The following is a 23,719-nucleotide window of genomic DNA, read 5'->3' on the forward strand; positions in this document are numbered from 1 at the left end:
CTTCTGGCCTCTACTTTCAACAATGTCAGGCTCATATTATCACTGATGCCTATAAGTATACAATAAATGATAAGTATGTTAATTATGAAACTAAGAATATGCTGCTATTATTCTGATAATCAATTAAACCATGTATATTAAAAGCAGAGATCACCTGATGAAAATGAGTTGATTACAGTAAACAATAAATTTAATTTTTAAGTGCTTTCTCAAGGAAGTTTTGCTAAATTCTAAAATTGAAAACCATAAAATTACCTAACATCAAGAATGTTAAAATGCGCATTACAGAATTAATATTTATTTCTGGGATTGAGCATCTTTTATATTCTTTTATTTCTACCTTTGTTACTTTATTTTCTGCAATAAGCAGAAACATTAAGGTAAAATTCCATAACATAACCTTAAGGTATCCAATTGTGTAAATGTTTGTGATAACTTTAGGCAATATTTTTCTTGCAGAGACTAGAACGACAGGTCCTTTACCTCCCAGGAACCTCCAGTCTAGGGGTCACTGTCACCTACACAAAAATTAAGAAAAAGTGGCTGCTTTGTATAATATGGTACTCTTGAGCTCTCTGCAAAGAAACCACAGGATAACCTAGATTGCTCCAACAACGTACCCTTCTAAAGGCACACTAGGAAACAGCAAAATTAGGTCACTCCAGGAACTTGAAGTTGGTGGATCAAAGACATTTCTCAGAGAAGATTCTCTATAAGAAATCGTGAATGCATACACATATCCTTGCTATGTGAGATACTACCATTAACAACTATTATCAGAACCTTAATCCATGTGGATAAATTCTTTGATAGCACCGTTTGGAGAAAAGGTAACTCTCACTGTCCAAGCTCTTACTACTTGTTACATGATCTCCAGGTCTCAAATGTATTAGAAAAACATAATATCCCTCACAATCTCAGCTCAGAAACCAGACACAGGTAGCAAGGATGTAATCTGTATATCGAATTATTAGTATGAGGACTGAAACAGGTTCTGGATAAATCTATCCAGGAAAGTGAAAAGATGTTAAGTTATTCAAGCAGCCAATAAAAAAAAAAATGCAATTCCCAAAAGTAAACGAGGAGTTTTAAAACCAAAATCCAAAAAGTAGTAATATACAAATGCCTTAGAGTTTTCCTATACTACTCCAAAAATAGTTAAATCTATTAATCAAAATCCAGTGTCAACAGCATTATCTCTTTTTGGAAACAAAATCTGATTAACAAATAAAATAAGGTAAAGTACAATAGAAGGATAGGAAAGCAATCAATGATTAATGTTGTGTTGATTAAACCATTGAGAAATTGTTAAAGAGGAGAAAAAGGAAACTTCTTGTAGCATAGAAAATAGCTCTAGGCCAGACATAGTGGCTCATGCCTGTAATCCCAACACTTTGGGAGGCCAAGGTGAGAGGATCACATGAGCTCAGGAGTTTGTGACCATCTTGGACAATATAGTGAGCCCTTGTCTCTAAGAAAATGTAAAATTTAGCCACACATGGTAGCATACACCTATAGTCCCAGTTACTTGGGTGGCTGAGGTGAGAGGATCACCTGAGCCCAGGAGGTCAAGGTTGCATTGAGCCATGATTGTACCACAACACTCCAGTCTAGGCAACAGAGTAAAACGCTGTCTCCAAAAAAAAAAAAAAAAAAAAAAAAAAGAAAATAGCCTGAGCTCGATACTATCAGATTAAGGAGTAATCATCACAGAATCACATATGAAAAACTGACATAAGAGTTAAGATTCTATATGACAAGAAAAAACAGATTCTCACAGTGTGGTTCAAGGACTTTGGGGTTTCCTGAGACCTTTTTCGGAGTCTCCGAGGTAGAAACTATTTTCATAATAATAGCAACACTATTTATCTGCTCTTTTCACTGTGTTGACATTTGTACTAATTGCAAAAGCAAAGGAAAGCAAAGGTGGGTAAAATTGATGGCACCTTAGTACTAATCAAGGAAGCAACATATATTAGTCACTGTATTCCTCACAACCACACACCAGCAGAAACAAACAAGGCAAATGGTTTCACTTAATAATGTCCTTGATAAAACAATAAATACTGTGTTAACTCTCAAGTACATGTCTTTCTAATATCTGTGACAAAATGGAAGATATACATAAATATGGCTACAACTGAAGTTCAATGGTTTTCTGAAGGAAAAGCATTTGTGTATCTGAGTTGTGAGCTAAACACGCTCCAAGCTCCTTTTTCATAGAACCCCACATTTTTTTTTTTTTTTTGAGACAGTCTCGCTCTGTCGCCCAGGCTGGAGTGCAGCAGCACGATCTCGGCTTACTGCAAGCTTCACCTCCCAGAGAACACCACTTTTTAAAAGAACAAATATGGCTAACTCAGACTTAGGTATTTGATAGAGATGTTTTCAAACATGAACAAGGTGAGCTTGTCACTTCAAGGAAAACTGAGAGCATTTATCGCCAATGATAAACGTTATGATTTCAAGTGGGAACTAGAATTCTGGAAAATTCACATCTACTACTGTGAACTTGATAGTTTACCAAGGCCTAAGTAATTTTTCTGATGAGATGATATTTATATTAATGAGCATGATTTAATGACAGTGTTCAATAAAACGTCAACATTTGGAAGACATAATTCAGGGAACCAATATTTACAAGCGGTAAATGCATGTTACAAAACTATACATACAAGACCCAAGTTAATTAACCTGGTTTCAGACCTACATTAAACATTACAACTAATCTTTAGGAAACTACAACTTATGTAGAGTTTTGGTATTGTATGGTATCAAAAAGAGAATATACACAATTATCTAAAAAGACTTTAAAAATATTCTTTTTATGTGAGGCTCGGTTTTCTTCATATACTTATTATTTTGAGAGAGGATCTCATTCTGTCACCTAGGATGGAATGCAGTGGCATGAAAATAGCTCACTGCAGCACTGACCTCCTGAGTTCAGGCTTCCACCTCAGCCTCCCAAGTGGCTGGGATTACACGAGCGTGCCTCAGCGCCTGGCTAATTTCTTCTTGAGACAGTCTCACTCTGTCACCCAGGCTGGTCTTGAACTCCTGAGCTCAAGTGATCCACCTGCCTCGGCCTCCCAAAGGGCAGGGATTACAGGCATAAGCTACTGCATCAGGCCCTTCATAGATTTTAAACAAAACAATACATTGCAAAAGACTGAATGCGGCCAGGCACGGTAGCTCACGCCTGTAATCCCAGCACTCTGGGAGGCCGAGGCGGTCAGATCACCTGAGGTCAGGAGTTCGAGACCAGCCTGGCCAACATGGCAAAACCCCGTCTCTATTAAAAAGACAAAAATTAGCCAGGTATGGTGGCACACGCCTATAATCCCAGCTACTGTAGAGACTGAGGCAGAAGAATTGCTTGAACCTGGGAGACAGTGGTTGCAGTGAGCAGAGATTGTGCCACTGCACTCTAGCCTGGGCAACAGAGTGAGAATCTGTCTCAAAACAACAGTAACAACAACAGTAACAACAACAACAACACAAAAAGACTGAATGCAGAAGCAAATGGTAATCAAGCTGTTTTCTCTTAAGCCAGACATTAAACAGATGTACAAAAACATAAAATGCCACTCTTTCATTCTTTTGAAAAGTTATTTTTCCTAGAAAATATTATTTTTAACATTTTAAAATAAAAATTTTTCAGTTCTAATGTCAAATACAGTGAAGATCAAAATAACTCATATTAAAAAAAGCTCTTGGGGTCCTCACTAATTTTTTAAGAGGGCAACAGTATCCTGAAACCAATAAATTGGAAAACCACTGAGAAAAAGATAAATATAAAAATATCTGTCATAACAACCTAGTAAATTGCTTCTGAGGAAATAGTGATCACCTTGCCTCACACTAAATCCTTAAAAAGTACAAGTATAGCTATAGTAAAAGTTAGAAAATAAGAAGTATTTTGTCTTTAAACAAGCCAATTTAAAACACCAAAAATCATCATACCCCTTGCGTTTGTAGTTGTATAACAAAAGTTTACACTTTAACTGCTGTTTATCTGTCCTCGTGCAGCTAATGGTAATAAGGACCAAGGGCGGACGAAAACGAAGTCCTAGAGCTATTTTCTGGTTTTGATTAATGCCATCTCCCATCAGAGATGGCATTCCCCTGAACTCCTAGGCCTGCTAGATCTCTCACACTTCCTTTCCTGTCAAGATGGGGAAGAATATAAAAACATTTGCTGACAGACCTAAATCACACTAAAAAGGCAAGGTCATGTAACACTTCAACAGACATTTTAAGTCACCTATGTCATTCGTTACCATTAAATAATTAGGGCAAACCTACTAGCTTTTAGGAAGAGTGAGAAAACTGTAAGGCCATTTTACTTCCCTGTCTGGCTCCTGGGCTCTGCTGCAGATTCTGGAAACCCAATATAGGAAACTTGTAAGAGTTAGCTTTTAAATGTCACTTTTTAATACTTTATTCCAGGATCTAGGAAAACATCCAGTTCTAATATACTCCCTATTTTGTCTTCACTTGATTACAGGTTGCACCCCTTCCCTCCAGCCTTGCACCTCATCCTCAGCCCAACCTCTTCCTATTCTTCCAGTGTCTTCTAGATACCTAACCCTGACTACTAGTACTTTCTGTCCCTTCTGACATTAATTCACTATTCTTAACCTTATATCCCTTGTATCTGATTTTCCGAAGCAACATACCCCTATGGCATCTATATTATTTCTATCAGGAAATTACTGCAGATACGTCAACAGAAGGTATAGTCTTTGAATGTAGATATGAACGAATACTGACAGCAATGCTGTTATTAATCAATTTTTGTTTCATATAAAGAGGCTATGAATAACTGATTTATGAAAAAAATAAAAATTGATCCTCACTTTGCCAGAAGGCTTTGGATGCATTAAGAAATTCAAGATCCTCTTCACTAGTTCACTATTTACACCTGATCTCTCCAAATCAAGAACCTCACAGATGCTCTTTAACATGGCATTTCTAAATCTGAAACAGAAAATGGAAGAAACCAAGGTGTTAATATAGGAAAGCTTACATATGTTCTCCACAATATAAAGGGAAAGCCAACCAAATTGGCTCAGTTACATACATTTAAAAAAGTGGCCAATGCTTCTATGAATCTTTTTTCTTTTTTTTTTTTTGAGACAGTTTCGCTCTTGTTGCCCAGGCTGGAGTGCAATGGCCCAATCTTGGCTCACCGCAACCTCCACCTCCCAGGTTCAAGCGATTCTCCTGCCTCAGCCTCCCAAGTAGCTGGGATTACAGGCATGCGCCACCACAGCCGGCTAATTTTGTATCTTTAGTGGAGACGGGGTTTCTCCATGTTGGTCAGGCTGGTCTCAAACTCCTGACCTCAGGTGATACGCCCGCCTCAGCCTCCCAAAGTGCTGGGATTACAGGTGTGAGCCACTGTGCCTGGCCCGAATGTGATTTAACATTAAAAAATAAACTTAAAGCATATTGATCAAAATACAGTATTTATAAAAATAACTTACTTTTTCAACATTTCTTCCTTCTTTTTATATTGGACACTTCCTTTTTCAAATGGAAAGCCACTGAACTGACCCACATTCTTCTTTAATGAGGACACCTGAAAATGTTCCTTATTATTAATGGTATTTATTACCCAGTAATGTACACAAGAATAAATTCAAAGCCAATTCAAAGTCAACATCTTTATTTTCATACCTGTCTGTAAGTTACAATACTGGCTGAACAGTCAACCAATTCAATATGGGTTCAATATTCAACATTTCTTATTCAAAACTGAAAAATGTATTTGTCATTAACATATTAACATTATAAAAATCCTACAAACTTAAGTCTCTGAAAAGAACAATTTGAACAAATTTTCACTGGGGAGTTTTTACCACAACCAAAAGTTACCTGACAGTACCAGGGGATGTGGAAAGTTACTATTTAAAAATATATCCTTTTCATAAGTAATAAAGTTACTAGTAATTCTTCTTTTCCAAATCAAGAAGGACTTTATTCTTTCAAAGTAAAGAATAGCGAGTACCACAAAAAGCTAATACCGTTCACTAGTTATGGGACTTGTGTAAATTAAATTGGTTTAAGGATTAAATGAGATTAACAGACTCACTGAAAATAAATTATGTCATGCACCAGACATTCTATTCTACTTCAGACATTCTAACACCCAACTTTACTTTGCCCACGTACAACCTAAAGCAGTTCCCTCGATTATATAATATACTAAGTCATATGTACAGTATAATAACAATCCTTTAGCAAAGAACTATCATCCAATTTATCAGGTATTTGCTAAAAATGAGATACAATTACACCAAATTCACTTTGTATGAGATTTGTATGAGATACAAATGATTTTGCCTCTTATTTGTATGAGATACAAATGAGATCATATGTATGATCTCATACAAATCATACCGACATTCACTTATTCTGAATGTCGAGAAAATCCAAAAACATGAATTTCTTTCAATACATTTAAAGGTCACTAAAACCTTTCATCACAATTTGGATTTCGTAATTTGAAATTTCAGTTTGGAATAAAAACTACTACAGGAGAAAGAGCCCTAGAGCTGGGCATACTGGCTCACACCTGTAATCCCAACACTTTGGGAGGCCAAGGTGGGAGGACCACTTGAGCTCAGGAGTTCAAGACCAGCCTGGGCACATGGCAAAACCCTGCCTCTACAAAAAGTAAAACAATTAGCCAGACACAGTATGGTGGCATGCACCTGTGGTCCCAGCTACTTGGGAGGCTTAAGCGGGAGGAACACTTGAGCCCAGGAGGTTGAGGCTGCAGTGAGCCATGTATTGCACACTGTACTCCAGCCTGGGTGACAAAGTGAGACCGTGTCTTAAAAGAAAGAAAAAAAAAAGAAAAAGAAAAAGAAAAAAGAAGACAGAGCCCTGGATATTATAATCCAAGTGCTAATATCCAGCTGTGTTTCCTGTGATAAATCATTTAATAAGTATATACCTCAGTCTGCTCAGTCATAAAGTGTGGAAATTGAACTAGTGGATCACTAACATTTACAGAAATTGATTCCATTGTGAAGTAATATACAAGTAGGTTTAAAGTGTAAAAAGGTCTTACAGTGCCTGGCCTGTTGTAAAGCAGTTTGTGTAGATTTCTAAGTTCATCGGTTTTCTTCTTACTTAGAAAAAAATGTATCCTCTCAATTTCACAAAGTTTCTGCCCCTTTCCTGGGGAAAAAAAAAAATCACAATTAAATACCTATGGCTTACTAATACATTTACAAAGTTAATTTAATGAGAATTATTTTCACAGCATAATTTACATGTAACTCTGCTCTTACAGAGCAAATTAAATAAAATTATACCAAAAGTATAAAACACTACCTTGCTGATACTAAGCTACAAACCATCATTTTCACAAATTTAGGCACTTTCACCACAAAATGAAAGGAAGCTAGAATAAACTTACCTTGTGCAATTGTAAATGGCTCTCTCTGTAAGGAAGAGACTTGCATTGTCAACCTCTCTACTTTTTTCTTTTCCCTCTTGCCTTCCACGATGAGACTCTTTTCTAGAAATTAATTTAGTATTTCTTAATTAACAAAAAGCTTAAACATTGTATTAACTTTATTAGATACACATGTAGAACAAAGTCCCCAAAACCTAATACTTTATTCTTCTTCTGAGCATGGTTTTGGAAAGCAAATGACATAAAAGAGGAAAACACTTGATTAATTAATAGAGCACCATGAAAATTTTTTCAGAGTAACATTTTACTCACCTGGCACTCACAGGGACTCAGTTAAAAAAAAAAATTAGAAAGCAAACTAATTTTTATCCAACTAAAATTATTGCCATTACAGTCCAGTCACTTCGTTTGTGAAAAAAATCTAGCTCTGTTTAATCTTTGGACATAATTCTATTTAATAATTGAGATTCAGTTTGCTGTACTTCAGGAATAATCAAATTTAGACTGGGAGATTAAGAACTTCAAAAGATATATAGAGAACAATAACAATTTAGTAAACTGACAAAAGAAACACAAATAAAGACTTCCAGGCAGAACAGCCTGAAGTACGTGGATAGGATAAAACTCTCCAAGTTTACATTTAATGCAATCAACTGGGAGAGCATTACTTTGTAGTTTATGAATAACATTCCTAATGATGACCATAAGTCACTCAAAGTTAAATTGTTTAGTCACAAAAATCTACGGTGAGGCGCGGTGGCTCATGCCTGTAATCCCAGCACTTTGGGAGGCTGAGGCGGGCGGATAACGAGGTCAGGAGATCAAGACCATCCCGGCTAACTCGGTCAGGAGATCGAGACCATCCTGGCTAACTCAGTCAGGAGATCAAGACCATCCTGGCTAACGTGGTGAAACCCCATCTCTACTAAAAAATACAAAAAATTAGCCAGGTGTGGTGGCTGGTGCCTGTAGTCCCAGCTACTTGGGAGGCTGAGGCAGGAGAAAGGCATGAACCCAGGAGGCGGAGCTTGCAGTGAGCCGAGATCGCACCACTGCACCTCAGCCTGGGCGACACAGCAAGACTCCGTCTCAAAAAAAAAAAAAAAAAAAAAAAAAAAAAAAAAAAAAAATCTAGAAAACAGGTAGCATATACTTCAAAATTCAAAACATTAAGCTCCATTTATCTAAAATAAAATCATTTTTTGAATGAAATAAAGTCAGATAAAAGAATACTATATACTGCTCGAGGTTCTGCCATTTATTTAATGCCTGTGTTGTGCAGCTGCACTCAATACTAAGAGGGGATAAATGGATGATAAAAACTGCGTATCTTTTGAAAAAGATGCTACTAAAGAAATGAGACATAAATATACGCCAATATAAAAGATAACAAAACATCTTAAGAAAGATACACAAATAAATTGCTGTGCACTGAGGAGGAATTGATTATTTTGGGACTAGAGAAAAAGGAACAAAGCACGTGTGCTGGCTTTTAAAGACAGCTTAGATTTAGTAATGTAAGGATTCGCACAGAAAGAATACTTCAGGAGAAAGGGCTATCAACAGGTATATTCTGGCCATGTTGTACAGAATGAAGACCAAACACACTAAAACAACCCCTACTATCACTCAACTTCATCAACTTAGTGATTTAAACTATTTGCTTGTCTCTGATTACTAACTACAAGCTAATGACTTCCCAGTCAATCTCCAAGCCACAACTTTCATCTGAGATTCATATTAACTAATATTGCCTCAGTATCTGTGAGGGATTGGTTCCAGGACGCCCCTCAGATGCCAAAATCCATGGATGCTCAAGTCCCTTATTTTTTAAAAAAATGGTGTAGTAGTTACATGTAACCTATGACCATCTTCCCATATACTTTATATCATCTGTAGATTACTCATAATGACTAATACAACTTAACTGATATGTAAATAGTTGTTATACTGTATTGTTTAGGAATAATAAAAAAATCTGTACATGTTCAGTACAGATGCAACCATCCATTTTTACCAATTTGTGGTTGATTGAATCCACAGATGAGGAACCCACAGATATGGAGAGCCAACAGTATATGCCTGTCTGTCATCTGGACAGCTACAATTCATGTCCTACAGGCACCTAAACTCAAAATATTCAAAAGAAAAATCATAATCATCTCCAAACTTGCTCACTTTGTGAATTTTTTTCAAAAAACATTAATACCATCCACCCACCTGCCAAAGACAGAAACCTAAGAGTCATCTTTTACTAGTCATTTCTCTCACTTCCCTTTTCCCCAAAATCACTGCCAATTTTGGCTAATCTGACCCCTTTCTTAGGACAGACTTCAGAGGATATATGAGAAAGCCTGGGTGCCTGGGCAGAAGCCTCCTGCAGGGGTGGAACTCTCACAGAAAACTGCTACTCAGGGCCAGGCGTGGTGGCTCATTCCTGTAATCCAGGCCCTTTGGGAGGCAGAGACGGGCAGGTCACTTGAGCTAAGGAGTCTGAGACCAGCCTGGGCAACATGGTAAAACCCTGCCTCTACAAAAAATACAGAAAGTACCCGGGCATGGTGGCGCATGCCTGTGGTTCCTGAGGTGAGAGGATTGCTTGAGCCTGGGAGGCAGAGTTTGCAGTGAGCTGAGATCATGTTACTGCACTCCAGCCTGGGTGACAAGTGAGACCTTGTCTCCAAAAAAAAAAAAAAAAAAGAAAGAAAACCTCTACTAGGGCAGTGTGGAGTGGAAAGGGGAAATGGGGGGTGGACCCCTAGATTCACCACCAAGGCTCTATTGGCTAGTGGAGCTGTGGGAAGGGGGCTGCCACCTCCAAACTCCAGCATGGTAGAGCCACAAGCAGCTTGCATCCTGAGCTGCCCAAAGCCTTGGGACCCCTCACCCCTTGCACCAGCGTGCTCTGGATGCCAGACATGCAGTAAAAGGAGATAATTTTGGAGCTTTAAGATTTAAAGACTGCCCTGCTAGGATTCAGACTTGTAGGCCGGGCGCAGTGGCTTACGTCTGTAATCCTAAAACTCTGGGAGGCTGAGACGGGCGGATCACCTGAGGTCGGGAGTTTGAGACCAGCCTGACCAACATGGAGAAACCTTGTCTCTATTAAAAATACAAAATCAGCCAGCTGTGGTGGCATATGCCTGTAATCCCAGCTACTCGAGAGGCTGAGGCAGTAGAATCCCTTGAACCAGGAGGCAGAGGTTGCGGTTAGCCGAGGTCAGGCCACTGCACTCCAGCCTGGGCAACGAGAGCGAAACTCCGTTTCAAAAAACAAACAAACAAACAAACACAGAAAAACAAAAACCAAACAAAAACCAAACCAGACTGTGTGGGGCCTATTGCACCTTTCTTTTGGCCTTTCTCCCTTTTGGAATGGGAATTTTACCCAATGTCTGTACCATCACTGTATCTTGGGAGTAAATAACTTGTTTTTGATCTCACAGGCTCATAGGTGGAAGAAACTCATCTTCAGATGAAACTCTGGACTTACAGATTTGGGACTTCTGTGTTAATGCTGAAACAAGACCGGACTTTGGGGGACTACTGCGAAGGCACAACTGAATCTTGAAATGTGAGAAACATATGAGAGTTGGGGGACCGGGGGTGCAATGATATGCTTTGGATGTTTGCCCCCTCCAAATTTCGTGTTGAAAAGTGATTTGCAATGCTGGAGGTGAGGCCTGGTAAGGTGATTAAATCATGGGGGCAGATCCCTCATGAACGGCTTAGCATGGTAATCCGTGGTGGTGAGTGAGTTCTCTCAAGATTTGTTTAAAAGAGCATGGCACCTCCCTCTACAACTTGCTCCCACTCCCAAATGAAATGCCTGCTCCCCCTTTGTCTTCTGCCATGATTGGAAGTTTCCTGAGGCTTTCACCAGAAGCAAATACTGGCGCCATGCTTCTTGTACTGTCTGCAGAACCACGAATCAATAAAACCTATTTTCTTTATAAACTACCCTGCCTCAAGTGTTTCTTTATAGTAACGCAAAAAAAAAAAAAAGCCTAATACAGAAAGTATTTCACTGTCTGGCTTCCATGATGCCTCAGTTCTAAAGTTAAATATTCAGGGTTAAGTAAAATAAAAACTTTCACAATTCTACTTGTCCCACAAACACCTCAAATTAGTAAAAAGAATAATAAATCACAGCTACAATAAAACTATTAGGGGATAAAATTTCTACAACATCATGTTTTTAAAAATAATTTGTCTAGAACAAAACATGGGATTCTTTCAACTACCAACTCTTCCCCAAGCATTACTGTGTTGGCCACTTACAGTATATTTACATGACTTCTCTAATTTTTTCCTGACATGAAGAAAATTCACCATTTCTTTGGCATCTCAACCCTGCCCCCACCAGAAGACCAAAATACAAACAAAAAATTGGAGAAAAAGTGCAGAGCCTCTTTGGCTAGCAGCGAGATAGTGCAGCCAATTTTGTTGTTGTATTAAAAATAATTTTAAAATAACATGTTGTTAAGCAATAGTTTATGTGAAAACTTATATTTAAAAAGCCATGCTTTACTTAAATATGCCCTTCTTAGGGCACATACCACTTTAAACAAACAAAAGGCACACCTTGTAATCTTAACCCAGATTGTGACCACAGGCTGGTTGAGGCTTAAAAAAAATCCGGGTTTAGGAAGAGCGCTTCAACCTCTTCCCAAGTGTGGCTGAGTCGTAAACATATACGAAATAACCGCAGACTAAGCTAATATCAAAGAATGCTAAGAGATGCGACTCGGATTTTTAAATGTTTGGAAACATGTCAAGAAGCGGGTACACCTGAAACAGACACTGCATGCATCCTGGATAAACTGCCGCAGCACACTCCTCTATTCAGTCAAGTTTCCGTTTCACACCTCCAGTCAAATCAGGGCTCATATCGCCCTCCCTTAAAACAGACACAGGTTCGAAACCGAGACAGTGCTGGGCTCACATTTAACTTTCTTTCAGAGTTCACTTTCTTCATTTTTAACTACTTTCTCAAGTAGCAACAGCTTTCACCGCTGTTTGCCAGGGAGGGAAACTTTTTGGTAAATGTAAAAATATTCGAAAGTATTCAAATACTTCCGGGTCTAGCCTTATAACTTCAGTCTTAACGGGCTGCACCAAGACCTTACAATAACTTCAAAAGGCAAAAGATGTGTAATGAAAAGGACAAAATTAGAACATCCACTTAGCAACTTCAAAGGTGCACACACACAGGTAAAAAAAAAAATCAAATCCAAGACCTACAAACTTCCCGTCAAATGATGAAATGTTAACGAACGTTTAGAGCGGACGAGAAGTCGGCTGCACTCCAATACATCTCTACCACGCTAACAAATACTTTAAAAACCGGAATACACAAAGTCAATTCTACGCCATCGCTCAAAACAAAAGCAGATAAATTGTGCACACATTCTCGCTGAAAATCACTCCGACTTCACGCCTCTAAACACCAAAAGAGCAAGAAAACTGTTTCCTGGGTGAAAAATACAAAAAAACTTCGGTCTGAAAAATTCATCAGTTGGGATGCGACTCCCCCCACCTTTTTCCTCCTCCTCCTCCTCCTCGTCGTCCTCGTCCTCTTCCTCCTCGCTCTCCTCTCTGGGACCGGGCATTTCGGGTTCTTTCTCGGACGCGGGCTGGGTGGGGGTTCCCTCCCCCTCCGCAGCAGGGGCCGAGGCGGACATGCTGTGAACCTGCATGCGGGAAGAAAGCCGGACGTCTCGGTCCTCCTACTCCCGCAGGCAGGACCGGGCGGCCACCCTGAATGATGCTACCCTTCCCGCGGGACACCTGCCCTGAAAGTTGCCTCCTCCCATAGCCGGGACCGCAGCGCTCAGTCCCCAGGGGCGGCTTCCCTCCCGCTCCGCCGCCGCCGTCCAGGGATTCCCGAGGCGGGAAACCGCGCCCGCTGCCCCGCGTGCGCGCGCGCCCGCCCGGCCTGCGCTGTTCCCGGCCCGGCCCGAGCTGCCGGCCCTCCACGTCCCCTCCCCCGCCCCAGGCCGCCGTCCAAATGGCCGCGTCCCTCCCCCGTCGGCCGCGGCAGGGGCGACCGGGCCTCCGGCGTCCCGAAGCAGCCCTTACCGCGGATTTCGGCCGCCGCGGGCCTGGCACGCGAGGGCACGAGGAGGTTCTGGGAGGCGGCGGCGGCCGACGCCGAGGAGAAGGCGCGCGGGCCGCTGTCTGGCGTGACGCTCGCGCCGCGCGCTCGGCTCCCCAGAATCAACAAGATTTTCAAAATGGCGGTTCGGGAAGGAGAGCGGGAATGCGGCGACCAATCAGGGCCGCGAGCTGGGAGTTGGCGGGCGCGGGGCGGGGGAGGCGGGGCGGCCGGGTGCCTCCGCGGGAAGCTCGGGCGGGCGGGACCGCGAGGGGTCGCCTCGGCCGCGGGCGGAGGGATGCGCGCGCGGGGCTCTCCCCGGCTGCGCCTGGAGTGTGGTCGGCGCTCGGGCCCCGGAGTGCGGGCGGGCTGTGTCCCGCGGGGCGGGCGGGAGCGGGAGGCGAGGCGGCCTGGCAGCGCGGAACGGAAGGACGCTAGGGGGCCTGCGTGTTTATTGTTTCCACGGTCGCTTCCTGGAAAAGATGATGAGCAGTCCCGGGCCGCGGAGGGGCGCGGCGGGCGCGGTAAAGAAGTTTAGAGATCTCCGAAGTCGCTATCGACAGTGTTACTCTGAGGCGGAGGAGAATTAATCAGCGGTCTCATCAATGCTCCAGAAATCATGCTGGGTGATAGATAACTCCCAAATCTGTATTTCTGAGGACCGCATCGCTTGTAAGGTGCACCGAAAGGAAAAAGATCCTACCTGCCACGTTAAAGGTTCACATAGCCAGCCACATAGATTTACACCCCTGTAAATATAAGGGGAGAGGCTCCCTCCCACCCCATTCCTTCTCCTCTCCTCTCTCACACACACTCTCTGTTTTATAATAGAGGAAATATGTTATTTGGCCGGGTCCAGACCCTTCTCCCAGAGTTCTAGGTCATCTATGCAGATGCTTTTTACACATTCAACACTGCAGACACTCAAAGCAGTATCTTCCCTGCTCAATGCTGCCTTCTTTTGTATGTGATTTCCTTTATTTTCTCCCAACTCTTCAACCACTAGCTCACCTGAAGGATCCTTGTACTCAGTGGACTTAATAGAAATGTGATCAGTGAAATTTGCCTGGACTCTGGGTTGCAGGACAAAAATTAGACATTTCCTTTGAATCTTCCCTTTTCCTTTTGTTCCCCTTCCAAAACATACGCGAATAGTGTCATTTCTACCCTCAAACGGTATGCCATTTTCCACACTATTTATCCCACTCAAATCCTATCCACACTCCACAGCTCATCTCTCCTTCTTGCTGCCTGCAACGTGGTTGGGAGTGGGGGGTTGTGTTTCACCCCTATTTGTGTTACAGCTCTTTCAATCCTACCATTTGGCAGGTCCTGAGTTCTGGTCCTGTGTCCAGGAAGAGTGAGGCACGCAAACAACTGGAGGGTGAGCAAGGTGGACAGGAGCTTCACTGAGGGACAGAACAGCTCTCCTGAGACCTGAAGTGGGTTGCTCCTTTCTGCAGGGGGGTTGTCCCGACTAGCGTCCTGCCCTCAGTGGAGAGGAGACCCATAGTGGGCAGCTCCTTTCTGCAGGCAGGTGGTCCTGACGAGTTGAGGAGACCAAAGTGGGTAGCTCCTTCCTGCAGCTGGTAGGCCTGAGCGCTGGCTGAGTCTGGGGTTTTTATGGGCTCAGAAGGGAGGAAGTGTGTGCTGATTGGCCCATGGGTGGGCCCAGAAAAAGCACCACTAGTTTTCACTCTGGGCTGCAGACTCTACCTGGAACTGGCCACCAGGCCCCCCAGGCTTCAGGCCATCCCTGGCTTGAAGGTGGGCAGGGACCTACCCCTTTCCCCCCAGGAACGTGTCTGCCTCCCACCATCAACATGTCATCCATGGCGCCCAGGCTGTTTGTGCTGAGGGGTGCCTGCAGGCCCACGCGGAGCCACCCTCAGCCCCACCAGCCTCTTTCTCGCACTTGTTGGTGCCCAAAGTCCAGAGAGGGCCAAGGCGGCAGGTGGCTGGTGTGTCAGTGCTGCCCTGAACACGTGCACACCCAGCTGGGTTGCAGCAGCGCCCGTGCCTGGCCACAACTTTGCTCCGCCTTGGAGTGGGCCCTGGGAGTGGGTAGAGAGAGGGTAGAGGCCTGGGAACAGGCACATTCTTTTTTTTTTTTTTTTTTTTTTTGAGACAGGGTCTCACTCTGTCACCCAAGCTGGAGTGCAGTGGCGTGCTCTTGGCTCACTGCAACCTCAGGAGCAGGCACTTTCAGCCTGCAGGGGCAGGGGGTTTCCTGGGCCCCCAAGAGTGCAGGGATGGCTGGGTGCAGAGCTGCGGCTGGACGGCTGCAGCTGTGCCCAGGAACATGGGTCTCCCGCCTCGCTGACGTGGTAGGGGACGGGGCTCTTGCATGTTCCTGGCGCCCGCTGTCTCTGAGGAGTGGGCAGCTCTGGCCACGCCTTCCATACTGCAGCTGGCATCCCCTCAGCAGCTGCTCCAGACAGGCTGTCACTGCCATCAAGACAACGAGCAGGTGAATATATATTCTATGACAATTAGTGATAGCAGTAAAGCAAGTTAAAGAAGATAGGAAGTACCAGTAGGGTGGATGGGATTTTGTTTTATATATTCAACAATGAAGCAATGACTTATTAATAAGATGACATTTGAAGAGATCCTAAGAAAATGGGAGATCTGAAGACCCACTAGGTTATTCCAAAGAATGCTCTAAAGTTTTGGATGTGGGGCACGAGAGTCAGGTAGAAATCAGTGATGACCTTGGGGTTTTTGGTTCAACAACTGTGAGAACAGGAGTAGCTATTCGTTGAGATGAGAAAGACTTCGGGGGTGGGGGTGGGCAGGATGGTTTTAGAGGGGAAAGTGCAGGAGGTGGGAATGAGTTGTTTTGTTTTAGACATGTTAGTTTTGACAATTCAAAATGGAGATTCAGGAGTGGCAGTTGGATTTGAGAGTCTGGCATTCAGCAGAAGAAACTCTAGCTCAAGAAATAAATATAGCAGTTGTCAACATGTAGATGGTATTTAAAGCCCTGAAACTGAATGAAATCACTAACAGGGAACATAGGTAGGGATAAGGGGATATTCAAAATTGTACCTTGGAGCTCTCCAGTGTTGAGAGGTTCAAGAGTGAGAGGGGAACCAGCAAAGGAGAAGAGAAGAGCAACTGTAGCCAGTGAAGTGGGAAGAGACTTACATGAAAATTGTGTCCGAGAAGCCAAGTGACAAAGGAGTGTTTTTGAAGGAGGGTGATCCACTGAGTCACATGCTGATAAAAGGTCAGGTAAGATGAGAACTGATAATTGACCACTGGAAATACCAATGTTGTGTTATCAGTGACATGGACTATTCTGTGGGGTGGTGAGTCTAAATGTTCCAGGAGTGGGAATACAGAGAGACAGGTAGGCAAGGAATGGATTCAGACACTCTTTCCAGGAATGTTGCTGTACAGGAAAACAAAGAAGGAGCAGTAGTTCAAAGGGAGTTTGGTTTTGAAGAAAAGAGACCCATGTTTGTATGATGATGAGAATGAATCAGTGGAGAGGGGAACATTGATGATACAAGAGAAGGAGACAGTAGCTGAAGCCAATCTACAGTAGGTAGGTCAGGTTGGGTTCTCTGTAAGCAGAAGCTGAAACAGAATTTGGGACACCAGGTGATTATTAGAGGTGAAGAACTGTGAAGGGAAGGGGGAAGAAGTAAGATTGGGCAGAGGAAGAGGTCAAACTGCAAAGCTGGCTTGACAGAGCTTCAGACAGCTACGAGGGGAGTTCTGGAGTGAGTGCTGCTCTTCAGGGTATTCTGAGTGGCTGAGCTTTTATATCGCCATACTGCTCAGTCACCGCATGCAGGCAGCCCCAGGAAGGGTGTTACCTCGACTGAAGTGATTCCACTTTAGTGGCTTTGGCAGATCCTGAAGGAGCTGACAGATGGAGGCTGCCTGCTAACTCTAGGGTCTGCAGCTGGGCAGCAGATCCTTCCTTGAAGAGGCATCTGGGTGACACATCTCCATGTCTGCCACAGGAGATGAGGGGACATGGGATCTAGTGCACAAGTAGAAGAGTTGTCCTTGAAAAGGACAATGGAAAGCTGTTCCATTGTAACAAGAGGAAACACAGAGGACATCAGTACCCATGCAGGGCAGGGGTTGGCAGATGTAAGTGGGAGTTTTTGAAGTTTTTATTTCTTTAAGTTTCTCAGTAAAATCCGGGGCAACATTATTGACAGTGAGTGAGTGTGAGAGAGACTGTTGAAGGTTTTTGGACAGGAAATGTGAAGTGATCATGTAGAAAAATGGGAGATGGATGGATTAGGGAATGTCGTAGGCTTGCCATGTAGCTGCAAGGACTCACTGGGATCAATGGCTGTAAAGTGAGAGTGAGACCAGTCAGCATTATTGTTTTTCTCCGGCCATATTCAGCTACCTGGGAGTAAGTACGAAGATGGCAACAACAGCATCCAAAAAGTGCATTTAACCAGGTTGGTATTTTGCTAGGCAGGTAAGAAAGAAGGAGAAAACGGTGAGTGAGTTGAGGATACACACAGGACAAGGAAGATAGTGATGGACCATAGAGTCTGAGCTGAGTAAGGAGGGAAGTAAAGACATGAGAAGGGCGAGGCTTAGTGAGAAGGGTACAGGACCGATCAGTAATAACTTTATTTCTGTTTATTACATTTATCACTACCAGAAAATTTTGTTTATTTATTGTCTATCTTTCCTACAAAAATGTAAACTCCCTGAGGCTGCAGGGACTTTGTCTTGTTCATCACTGTATTCTCAGCACCCAAAACAGTGCCTAACACATAGTAAGTATTTTGCTGAGTGAATGAATGCCAACCAAAATAAACCCGTATTATGAAGATCCAGAATTTTTTTGGTTAATGTGATGAGAAAGTATATTAGGATAAAACGGGCTATTTCAATGGCCTAATGGCAAAGTTTGTTTCTTGCTCTATAAATCTCCCTGTCAGTTCAGGCAATTCTCCAGGGCTTCCGTTTGTGTGGTTTAGTCATTGCTCTAGGCTACTTTGATCTTGTAGATCTACTATCTTAACACAAGTCCATCATGTTCATGGTGGTAGGGGAAGAGAGCAAGAGGAGAACCCATACCTGCTGTTCTGTGGTTCTGCTCATTGGTCAGCTCAGTCATATGATCCCACCTAACCACAAAGAATTTAGACAATATAGGGGCACACAGGAAGTAGCTGATGAGTATTGCTGTCTCTGACACAGAAGGGCTAATTGCAACCATATCTGGGACAATCGGGATGAACAGGGGATGTGCCTGAGAATATGTTGGTTTTATTTTGGCAATTATTGAAACCCTGGTTCTTAAACACTTCCCTCCTTTTGCCTGTGAGAAGTTTTTATATAAACTGCACACACATACCGATCTTTCTCATGCACATAATCTAACTCTTGCATACACAGATCGATTTTTCCCAGAATGTAAGTTTCAGGGGCAGAGGCCCTGTGCTTCCTTTTATTATTCCCTCCCGGTGCTTGGCATGGTGCCTGACACATAGTAAATACTTTAAAAAAATTTGTTTAATTAAAGTGCACCCCCTTTTGGTTCTTAGTCTGGCATGAGTTTGTTGTCTGGATGCTATTTAAAGACCATCCAGGCTGGGCGCGTTGGCTCACGCCTGTAATCCCAGCACTCTGGGAGGCCGAGGTGGGCGGATCACCTAAGGTCGAGTGTTCGAGACCAGGCTGACCTACATGGAGAAACCTCATCTCTGCTAAAAATACCAAAATTAGCCAGGCGTGGTGATGCATGCCTGTAGTTCCAGCTACTTGGAAGGCTGAGGCAGGAGAATCGCTTGAACCCGGGAGGCAGAGGTTGCAGTGAGCTGAGATTGCACCATTGCACTCTGGCCTGGGCGACAAGAGCGAAACTCCATCTCAAAAAAAAAAAAAAAAAAAGTCCAGTAATATCAAGTCAGTAAACTAACGTGGCTTGAATAAGCTAATGAACAGATTCTTTTTTAAACCTGGTTATAAATATAAATATAGTGACACATTTGGTTCTTCTAAAAACAAGATATCATACTCTATTCTGGTGGAGTGAGTTAGCCACAGTGTACGGTGTAGCTATTTAAGATTGGGTTTGGAAAATATCTGAATGCAACAATATCCAGTTGGTTGAATAAAGTGGATGTTCTGGCTTGACAATGGTCAGGGAGGACCCCCTCAAGGCAAGCAGTTGGAGGAGGTAAGGGAAATGGTGAGGCTTAGAAAACTTGGAGAACAAAGGATGAATGGCTAACAAACTTTTGCTCCTAGTAACTAATTTTGCTCTAACTTTAAGAGTATTATTTGTAACACATTTCTTTAATATATCTTATCAGCTGTTCCATGGAATGAGACTAAAGGAATAGAGAAGCATAGAGCCTTGGTATTATTGCCCTTATTTGCTGTTAAAACAAAACAGGCAGGTCATCTCTATAGGAGGGGGCTTTTCTACTAAGATTCAATACTCAGGTTATATTAATGCCCTTGGCCAAATCATAACATCAGAGTCAGAAAAATGATTTCTATTGCAAGTTGGCTAGATATCAACATTGTCACAAGACTGTCAAAATGGGGTGTTATTTTCGAAAATAGATATGTGTAACTCTAAAATATTTCTATAAATCTTATTTTTTCCATTTTTTGGTTTTCTTTCTTTCTTCATTTTTTTTTTTTTGTTTCGTTTTGTTTTTAGATGGAGTCTCACTCTGTCACCCAGGCTGGAGTGCAGTGCCGCGATCTTGGCTCACTGCAACCTCCGCCTCCTGGGTTCAAGTGATTCGCCTGCTTCGGCCTCCCAAGTAGCTGAGATGACAGACGTGTGCCACCACGCCCAGCTAATTTTTGTATTTTTAGTTAGAGACGGTTTCACCATGTAAGTCAGGCTAGTCTCGATCTCCTGACTTCAAGTGATCCGCCCGCCTCGGCCTCCCAAGGTGCTGGGATTACAGGCGTGAGCCACTGTGCCCGGTCAAATCTTATTTTTAATCTAGACTTTAATAAGTAAAACATTTCTTGTTATAACTCATTCTTCATTTCAGGAAATTAGAGAAGGTTTGGGAGAGTACCTGACTGACATGCAGCTTGGATTTAAAAAATTAAATTTAGAATAAACAGACGTTTTCAAATTAGGAAAAGAATATTAGAAGGTGATGCTACCTCCTAATAATATATATTTTGAAAAATGCATGTGTCTCTCTCCCATTCACATCTCAATATAACACAATGGTTCTCAAGTGAAGCCAGGACATTTGATAGTGTCTGGAGACATCTTTGGTTGTCAAAACTTAGAGGGGGTGCTAGTGGCATCTTGTGATTAGAGACCAGAGATGCTGCTAAACATCCTACAAAACACAGGACAGCCCCGCAACTTTTTTTTTTTTTTTTTTTGAGACAGGGTCTCACTATGTTGCCCAGGCTGGTCTCGAACTCCTGGGCTCAAGCAATCCGCCCGCCTCGGCCTCCCAAAGTGCTAGGATTATAGGTGTGAGCCACCATGCCCAGCTGAACATTATCTTCTTGCACATTCCTCATGCTTATGTTTCTGAAGTTGAGACTCCCTCCCCTCCCTGCTATTTTGTGCTTCCTTAATACTTTGTTCATATCTTTATTAGGGTATTTATGAAATTATAGTGTTATTACTTATTTACATGTCTGCCTTCATAGTAAACATTTACCCTCAACCTTCTCAAAGATCCTTCCATCCGCATTTCCAATCCTGTGGCCACCATCCATAGAATTAGATGAAGAACTCTTTTTAGGCATGTTTTACATCATGACTCTGACCTGAGTAAAGCCAGTTAATTCCCTACCTGGGAATTTGGAATTATTAGAAAGATGGATTCCACTTGGTAATTGGATCTGTAACAAATAAAGTTAGGAACTGTAGGGACATGTTTTCTGCTGTGTGAATTGGAGAAGCCCTAGTCTACAGAGAGAGAGAAGAGTGAAGATGAAGGAGGGTCAAATAAGGCAATGTGATGGCTAATTTTATGTGTCAACTTGATTGGGCCATTGGATGCCCAGATATCTGGTTAAACATTATTTCTGGGTGTGTCTGTGAGGGTCTTTCTGGAAAAAATTAGTATTTGAGTTGGTGGACTGAATAAAGCAGATGGCACTCCCCAGTGTGGATGGGCATCATCTAATCCATTGAGGGCCCAAATAGAACAAAACGGTGAAGAAAGATTGAATTCACACTGGGTGGCTGCTTGAGCTGGAACATCAGTCCTCTCCTGCCCTTGGTGCTCCTGGTTCTCAGGCCTTCAGACCAAGGCTGGAATCTATACCCTTGACTCTCTGGCTCTCAGTCCTTTGAACTACACCCAGCTTTCCTGGATCTTCAGCTAAAATAAAAAGAGGAGAGAATAAATAGAAATAAAAAAAAAAACAAAGGAAAATTGAGAAAAACCAAATTGAAATGACAGACAGAAGGTAGCAAATCATCTGAAAAAATACTATGAATCGAGTGACCTAGGGGTGAAATGTTTGGCTGTCTTGCTGTGGCTCTGCCCCCCTAAGGCCAACCAGCCTTTCCCTCTTCCTTTCTTCTTGGCCTATTTGCTCTGACTCAGGTGGGAGGATCCATCAGGGGAGCCCTGCTACCTCCTAGCACCCTAGCCCTAGCACTCTAGCCTTCCATTAAGTCTTCTGAGTACAGCCCACCATGGTTACAGCGAGGTGGCTCAGCTCCCAGGGACAGCCATAGCTGCCTAGACCTTAGTGAATCTAGAGAGCATGGCCTAGTGGAAGGAAGTAGCATGAACCTTGGTTTGTAAAAATGTTTAAATTATTTCTTTAAAAGCTAGTCAAATGAAGCAATGGGAATGGAGAGGGAACAAAGAGATCTGTAACTGGTTGAGATTAATTAGTTATAAGCAACAGTGCACTCAGACCAGCCTAGCACGGACTTTGACTTCAGACAAATAGATGCAAATTGAGGAAGACCATAAAATAATTAGAGTGAGGGATAATAAAAATAGCCGGGTGCGGTGGCTCACACACTTTGGAAGGCTGAGGCGAGTGGATCACTGGAGGTCAAGAGTTCGAGACCAGCCTGGCCAACATGGTGAAATCTCGTCTCTACTAAAAATACAAAAATTAGCCAGGCGTGGTGGTGGATGCCTGTAATTCTAGCTACTTGGGAGGCTGAGGCAGGAGAATCACTTGAACCCGGGAGGCAGAGGTTGTGGTGAGCCGAGATAGTGCCACTGCACTCCAGACTGGGCAACAGAGCGAGACTCCATCTCAAATAAACAAACAAAAAGAGAAATAAAATAACTCTCTCAAAAGGAGAGGGAGAAGAGGCAGGAGCATGCTGGTTTGCTTTTAACATGGTAGGAAATTGGGGATGTATATCAATGTACGTCTTATGTGTCAATTTCCCTTTAATTTATTCCACTACTCAGTTACAAATCAACATTCTTTTATCTTTGAAGTGTGTGAGATAGAGTCACTGTATAAATATTTAGTTTTAAAAAGCCATTTTCTCTCTCAATTCTATTTACCAATATGTTTCTCAGTTTTTTACCATCAGTGACCCTCCTCCCTCCACACTTCTCTTCCCTTCCAGGAAAGCTTGTCTCTTAGGAACTTGTCATGGGACTGAATTTAGATTCCATAAAGGTATGAGGATCTCTACATTGGTATTGATTGATTTTTAAGACTGGGTCTCAATCTGTCACTCAGGCTGGAGTACAGTGGCATGATAATGGCTCACTGAAGCTTCGACCTCTCTGGCTCAAGGGATCCTCCTGCCTCAGCCTCCTGAGCATGTGGGACCACAAACACATGCCACCATGCCCAGCTAATTTTTTTATCTTTTGTAGAGATGAGGTCTCCCTATTTGCCCAGGCTGGTCTTGAATTCCTGGGCTCAAGTGATCCTCCCACCTCACCCTCTCAAAGTGCTGGGATTATAGGCAGGAGTCACTGTACCTGGCCTGGTACTCATTGATTAAGTGTCCTTTACAGAGATCTTCTTCCTGATTTATCCTCTTTCCTCTCATCCCTACCTCCCATCCTCATTAGTTCTCTGCCTGCAGCCAGGAGTCTTTTGTTTTTTTAATTGATCTCATTATTATGTTGCCTATAACACTTAAATGCCTCCCCATCGTCTGTAGGATCAAGTGTAATTTTTTAATTTATTTTTTTAGAGACAGGGTCTTGCTTTGTCACCCAGGCTGGAGTGTAGGATGCGATCATAGCTCACTGCAGCCTCGACCT

At 42.7% G+C, this 23,719-nt stretch overlaps 1 protein-coding gene and 1 long non-coding RNA gene across 5 annotated transcripts in view, besides 5 other annotated features; one reads left to right on the forward strand and one right to left on the reverse strand.

Moving 5' to 3' along the window:
* DEK (DEK proto-oncogene) overlaps positions 1–13,659 on the reverse strand; it is a 40,671-nt gene extending 27,012 nt beyond the window's left edge. For 2 of the 4 annotated variants that reach the window (NM_003472.4, XM_047419335.1), the window contains exons 1-6: positions 13,514–13,659; positions 12,972–13,125; positions 7,433–7,534; positions 7,082–7,191; positions 5,490–5,584; positions 4,860–4,980 (exon numbers count right to left, since the gene is read on the reverse strand). In NM_003472.4, coding sequence (NP_003463.1) covers positions 4,860–4,980; positions 5,490–5,584; positions 7,082–7,191; positions 7,433–7,534; positions 12,972–13,116 — 573 coding nt within the window. In that variant the 5' untranslated portion in view covers positions 13,117–13,125; positions 13,514–13,659. Of the gene's footprint in view, positions 1–4,859; positions 4,981–5,489; positions 5,585–7,081; positions 7,192–7,432; positions 7,535–12,971; positions 13,126–13,226; positions 13,343–13,513 lie in introns of those variants that run through there. The other 2 variants (XM_024446544.2, NM_001134709.2) reach the window with 2 other exon arrangements.
* Positions 9,546–9,665: an enhancer, noted in NCBI's record as "active region_24120". NCBI's record gives its function as "activates an Ori minimal core promoter by ATAC-STARR-seq in GM12878 lymphoblastoid cells {active_cell/tissue: GM12878}" and the evidence as "EXISTENCE:reporter gene assay evidence [ECO:0000049][PMID:35858748]".
* Positions 12,783–13,334: an enhancer, noted in NCBI's record as "NANOG-H3K27ac-H3K4me1 hESC enhancer chr6:18263885-18264436 (GRCh37/hg19 assembly coordinates)". NCBI's record gives its function as "activates a minimal SCP1, AML or CMV promoter by ChIP-STARR-seq in naive H9 embryonic stem cells {active_cell/tissue: H9 hESC(naive)}" and the evidence as "EXISTENCE:reporter gene assay evidence [ECO:0000049][PMID:30033119]".
* Positions 13,220–13,279: a silencer, noted in NCBI's record as "silent region_16972". NCBI's record gives its function as "represses an Ori minimal core promoter by ATAC-STARR-seq in GM12878 lymphoblastoid cells {active_cell/tissue: GM12878}" and the evidence as "EXISTENCE:reporter gene assay evidence [ECO:0000049][PMID:35858748]".
* Positions 13,340–13,699: a silencer, noted in NCBI's record as "silent region_16973". NCBI's record gives its function as "represses an Ori minimal core promoter by ATAC-STARR-seq in GM12878 lymphoblastoid cells {active_cell/tissue: GM12878}" and the evidence as "EXISTENCE:reporter gene assay evidence [ECO:0000049][PMID:35858748]".
* On the forward strand, positions 13,661–18,349 carry LOC124901270 (uncharacterized). The gene is made up of 2 exons (XR_007059486.1): positions 13,661–14,206; positions 14,859–18,349. It is a non-coding gene; the product is annotated as an uncharacterized LOC124901270 (long non-coding RNA).
* Positions 13,740–14,019: a silencer, noted in NCBI's record as "silent region_16974". NCBI's record gives its function as "represses an Ori minimal core promoter by ATAC-STARR-seq in GM12878 lymphoblastoid cells {active_cell/tissue: GM12878}" and the evidence as "EXISTENCE:reporter gene assay evidence [ECO:0000049][PMID:35858748]".

Source organism: Homo sapiens, chromosome 6 (assembly GCF_000001405.40).
Source record: "Homo sapiens chromosome 6, GRCh38.p14 Primary Assembly".
In the NCBI taxonomy this organism is placed as follows: Eukaryota; Metazoa; Chordata; class Mammalia; order Primates; family Hominidae; genus Homo; species Homo sapiens.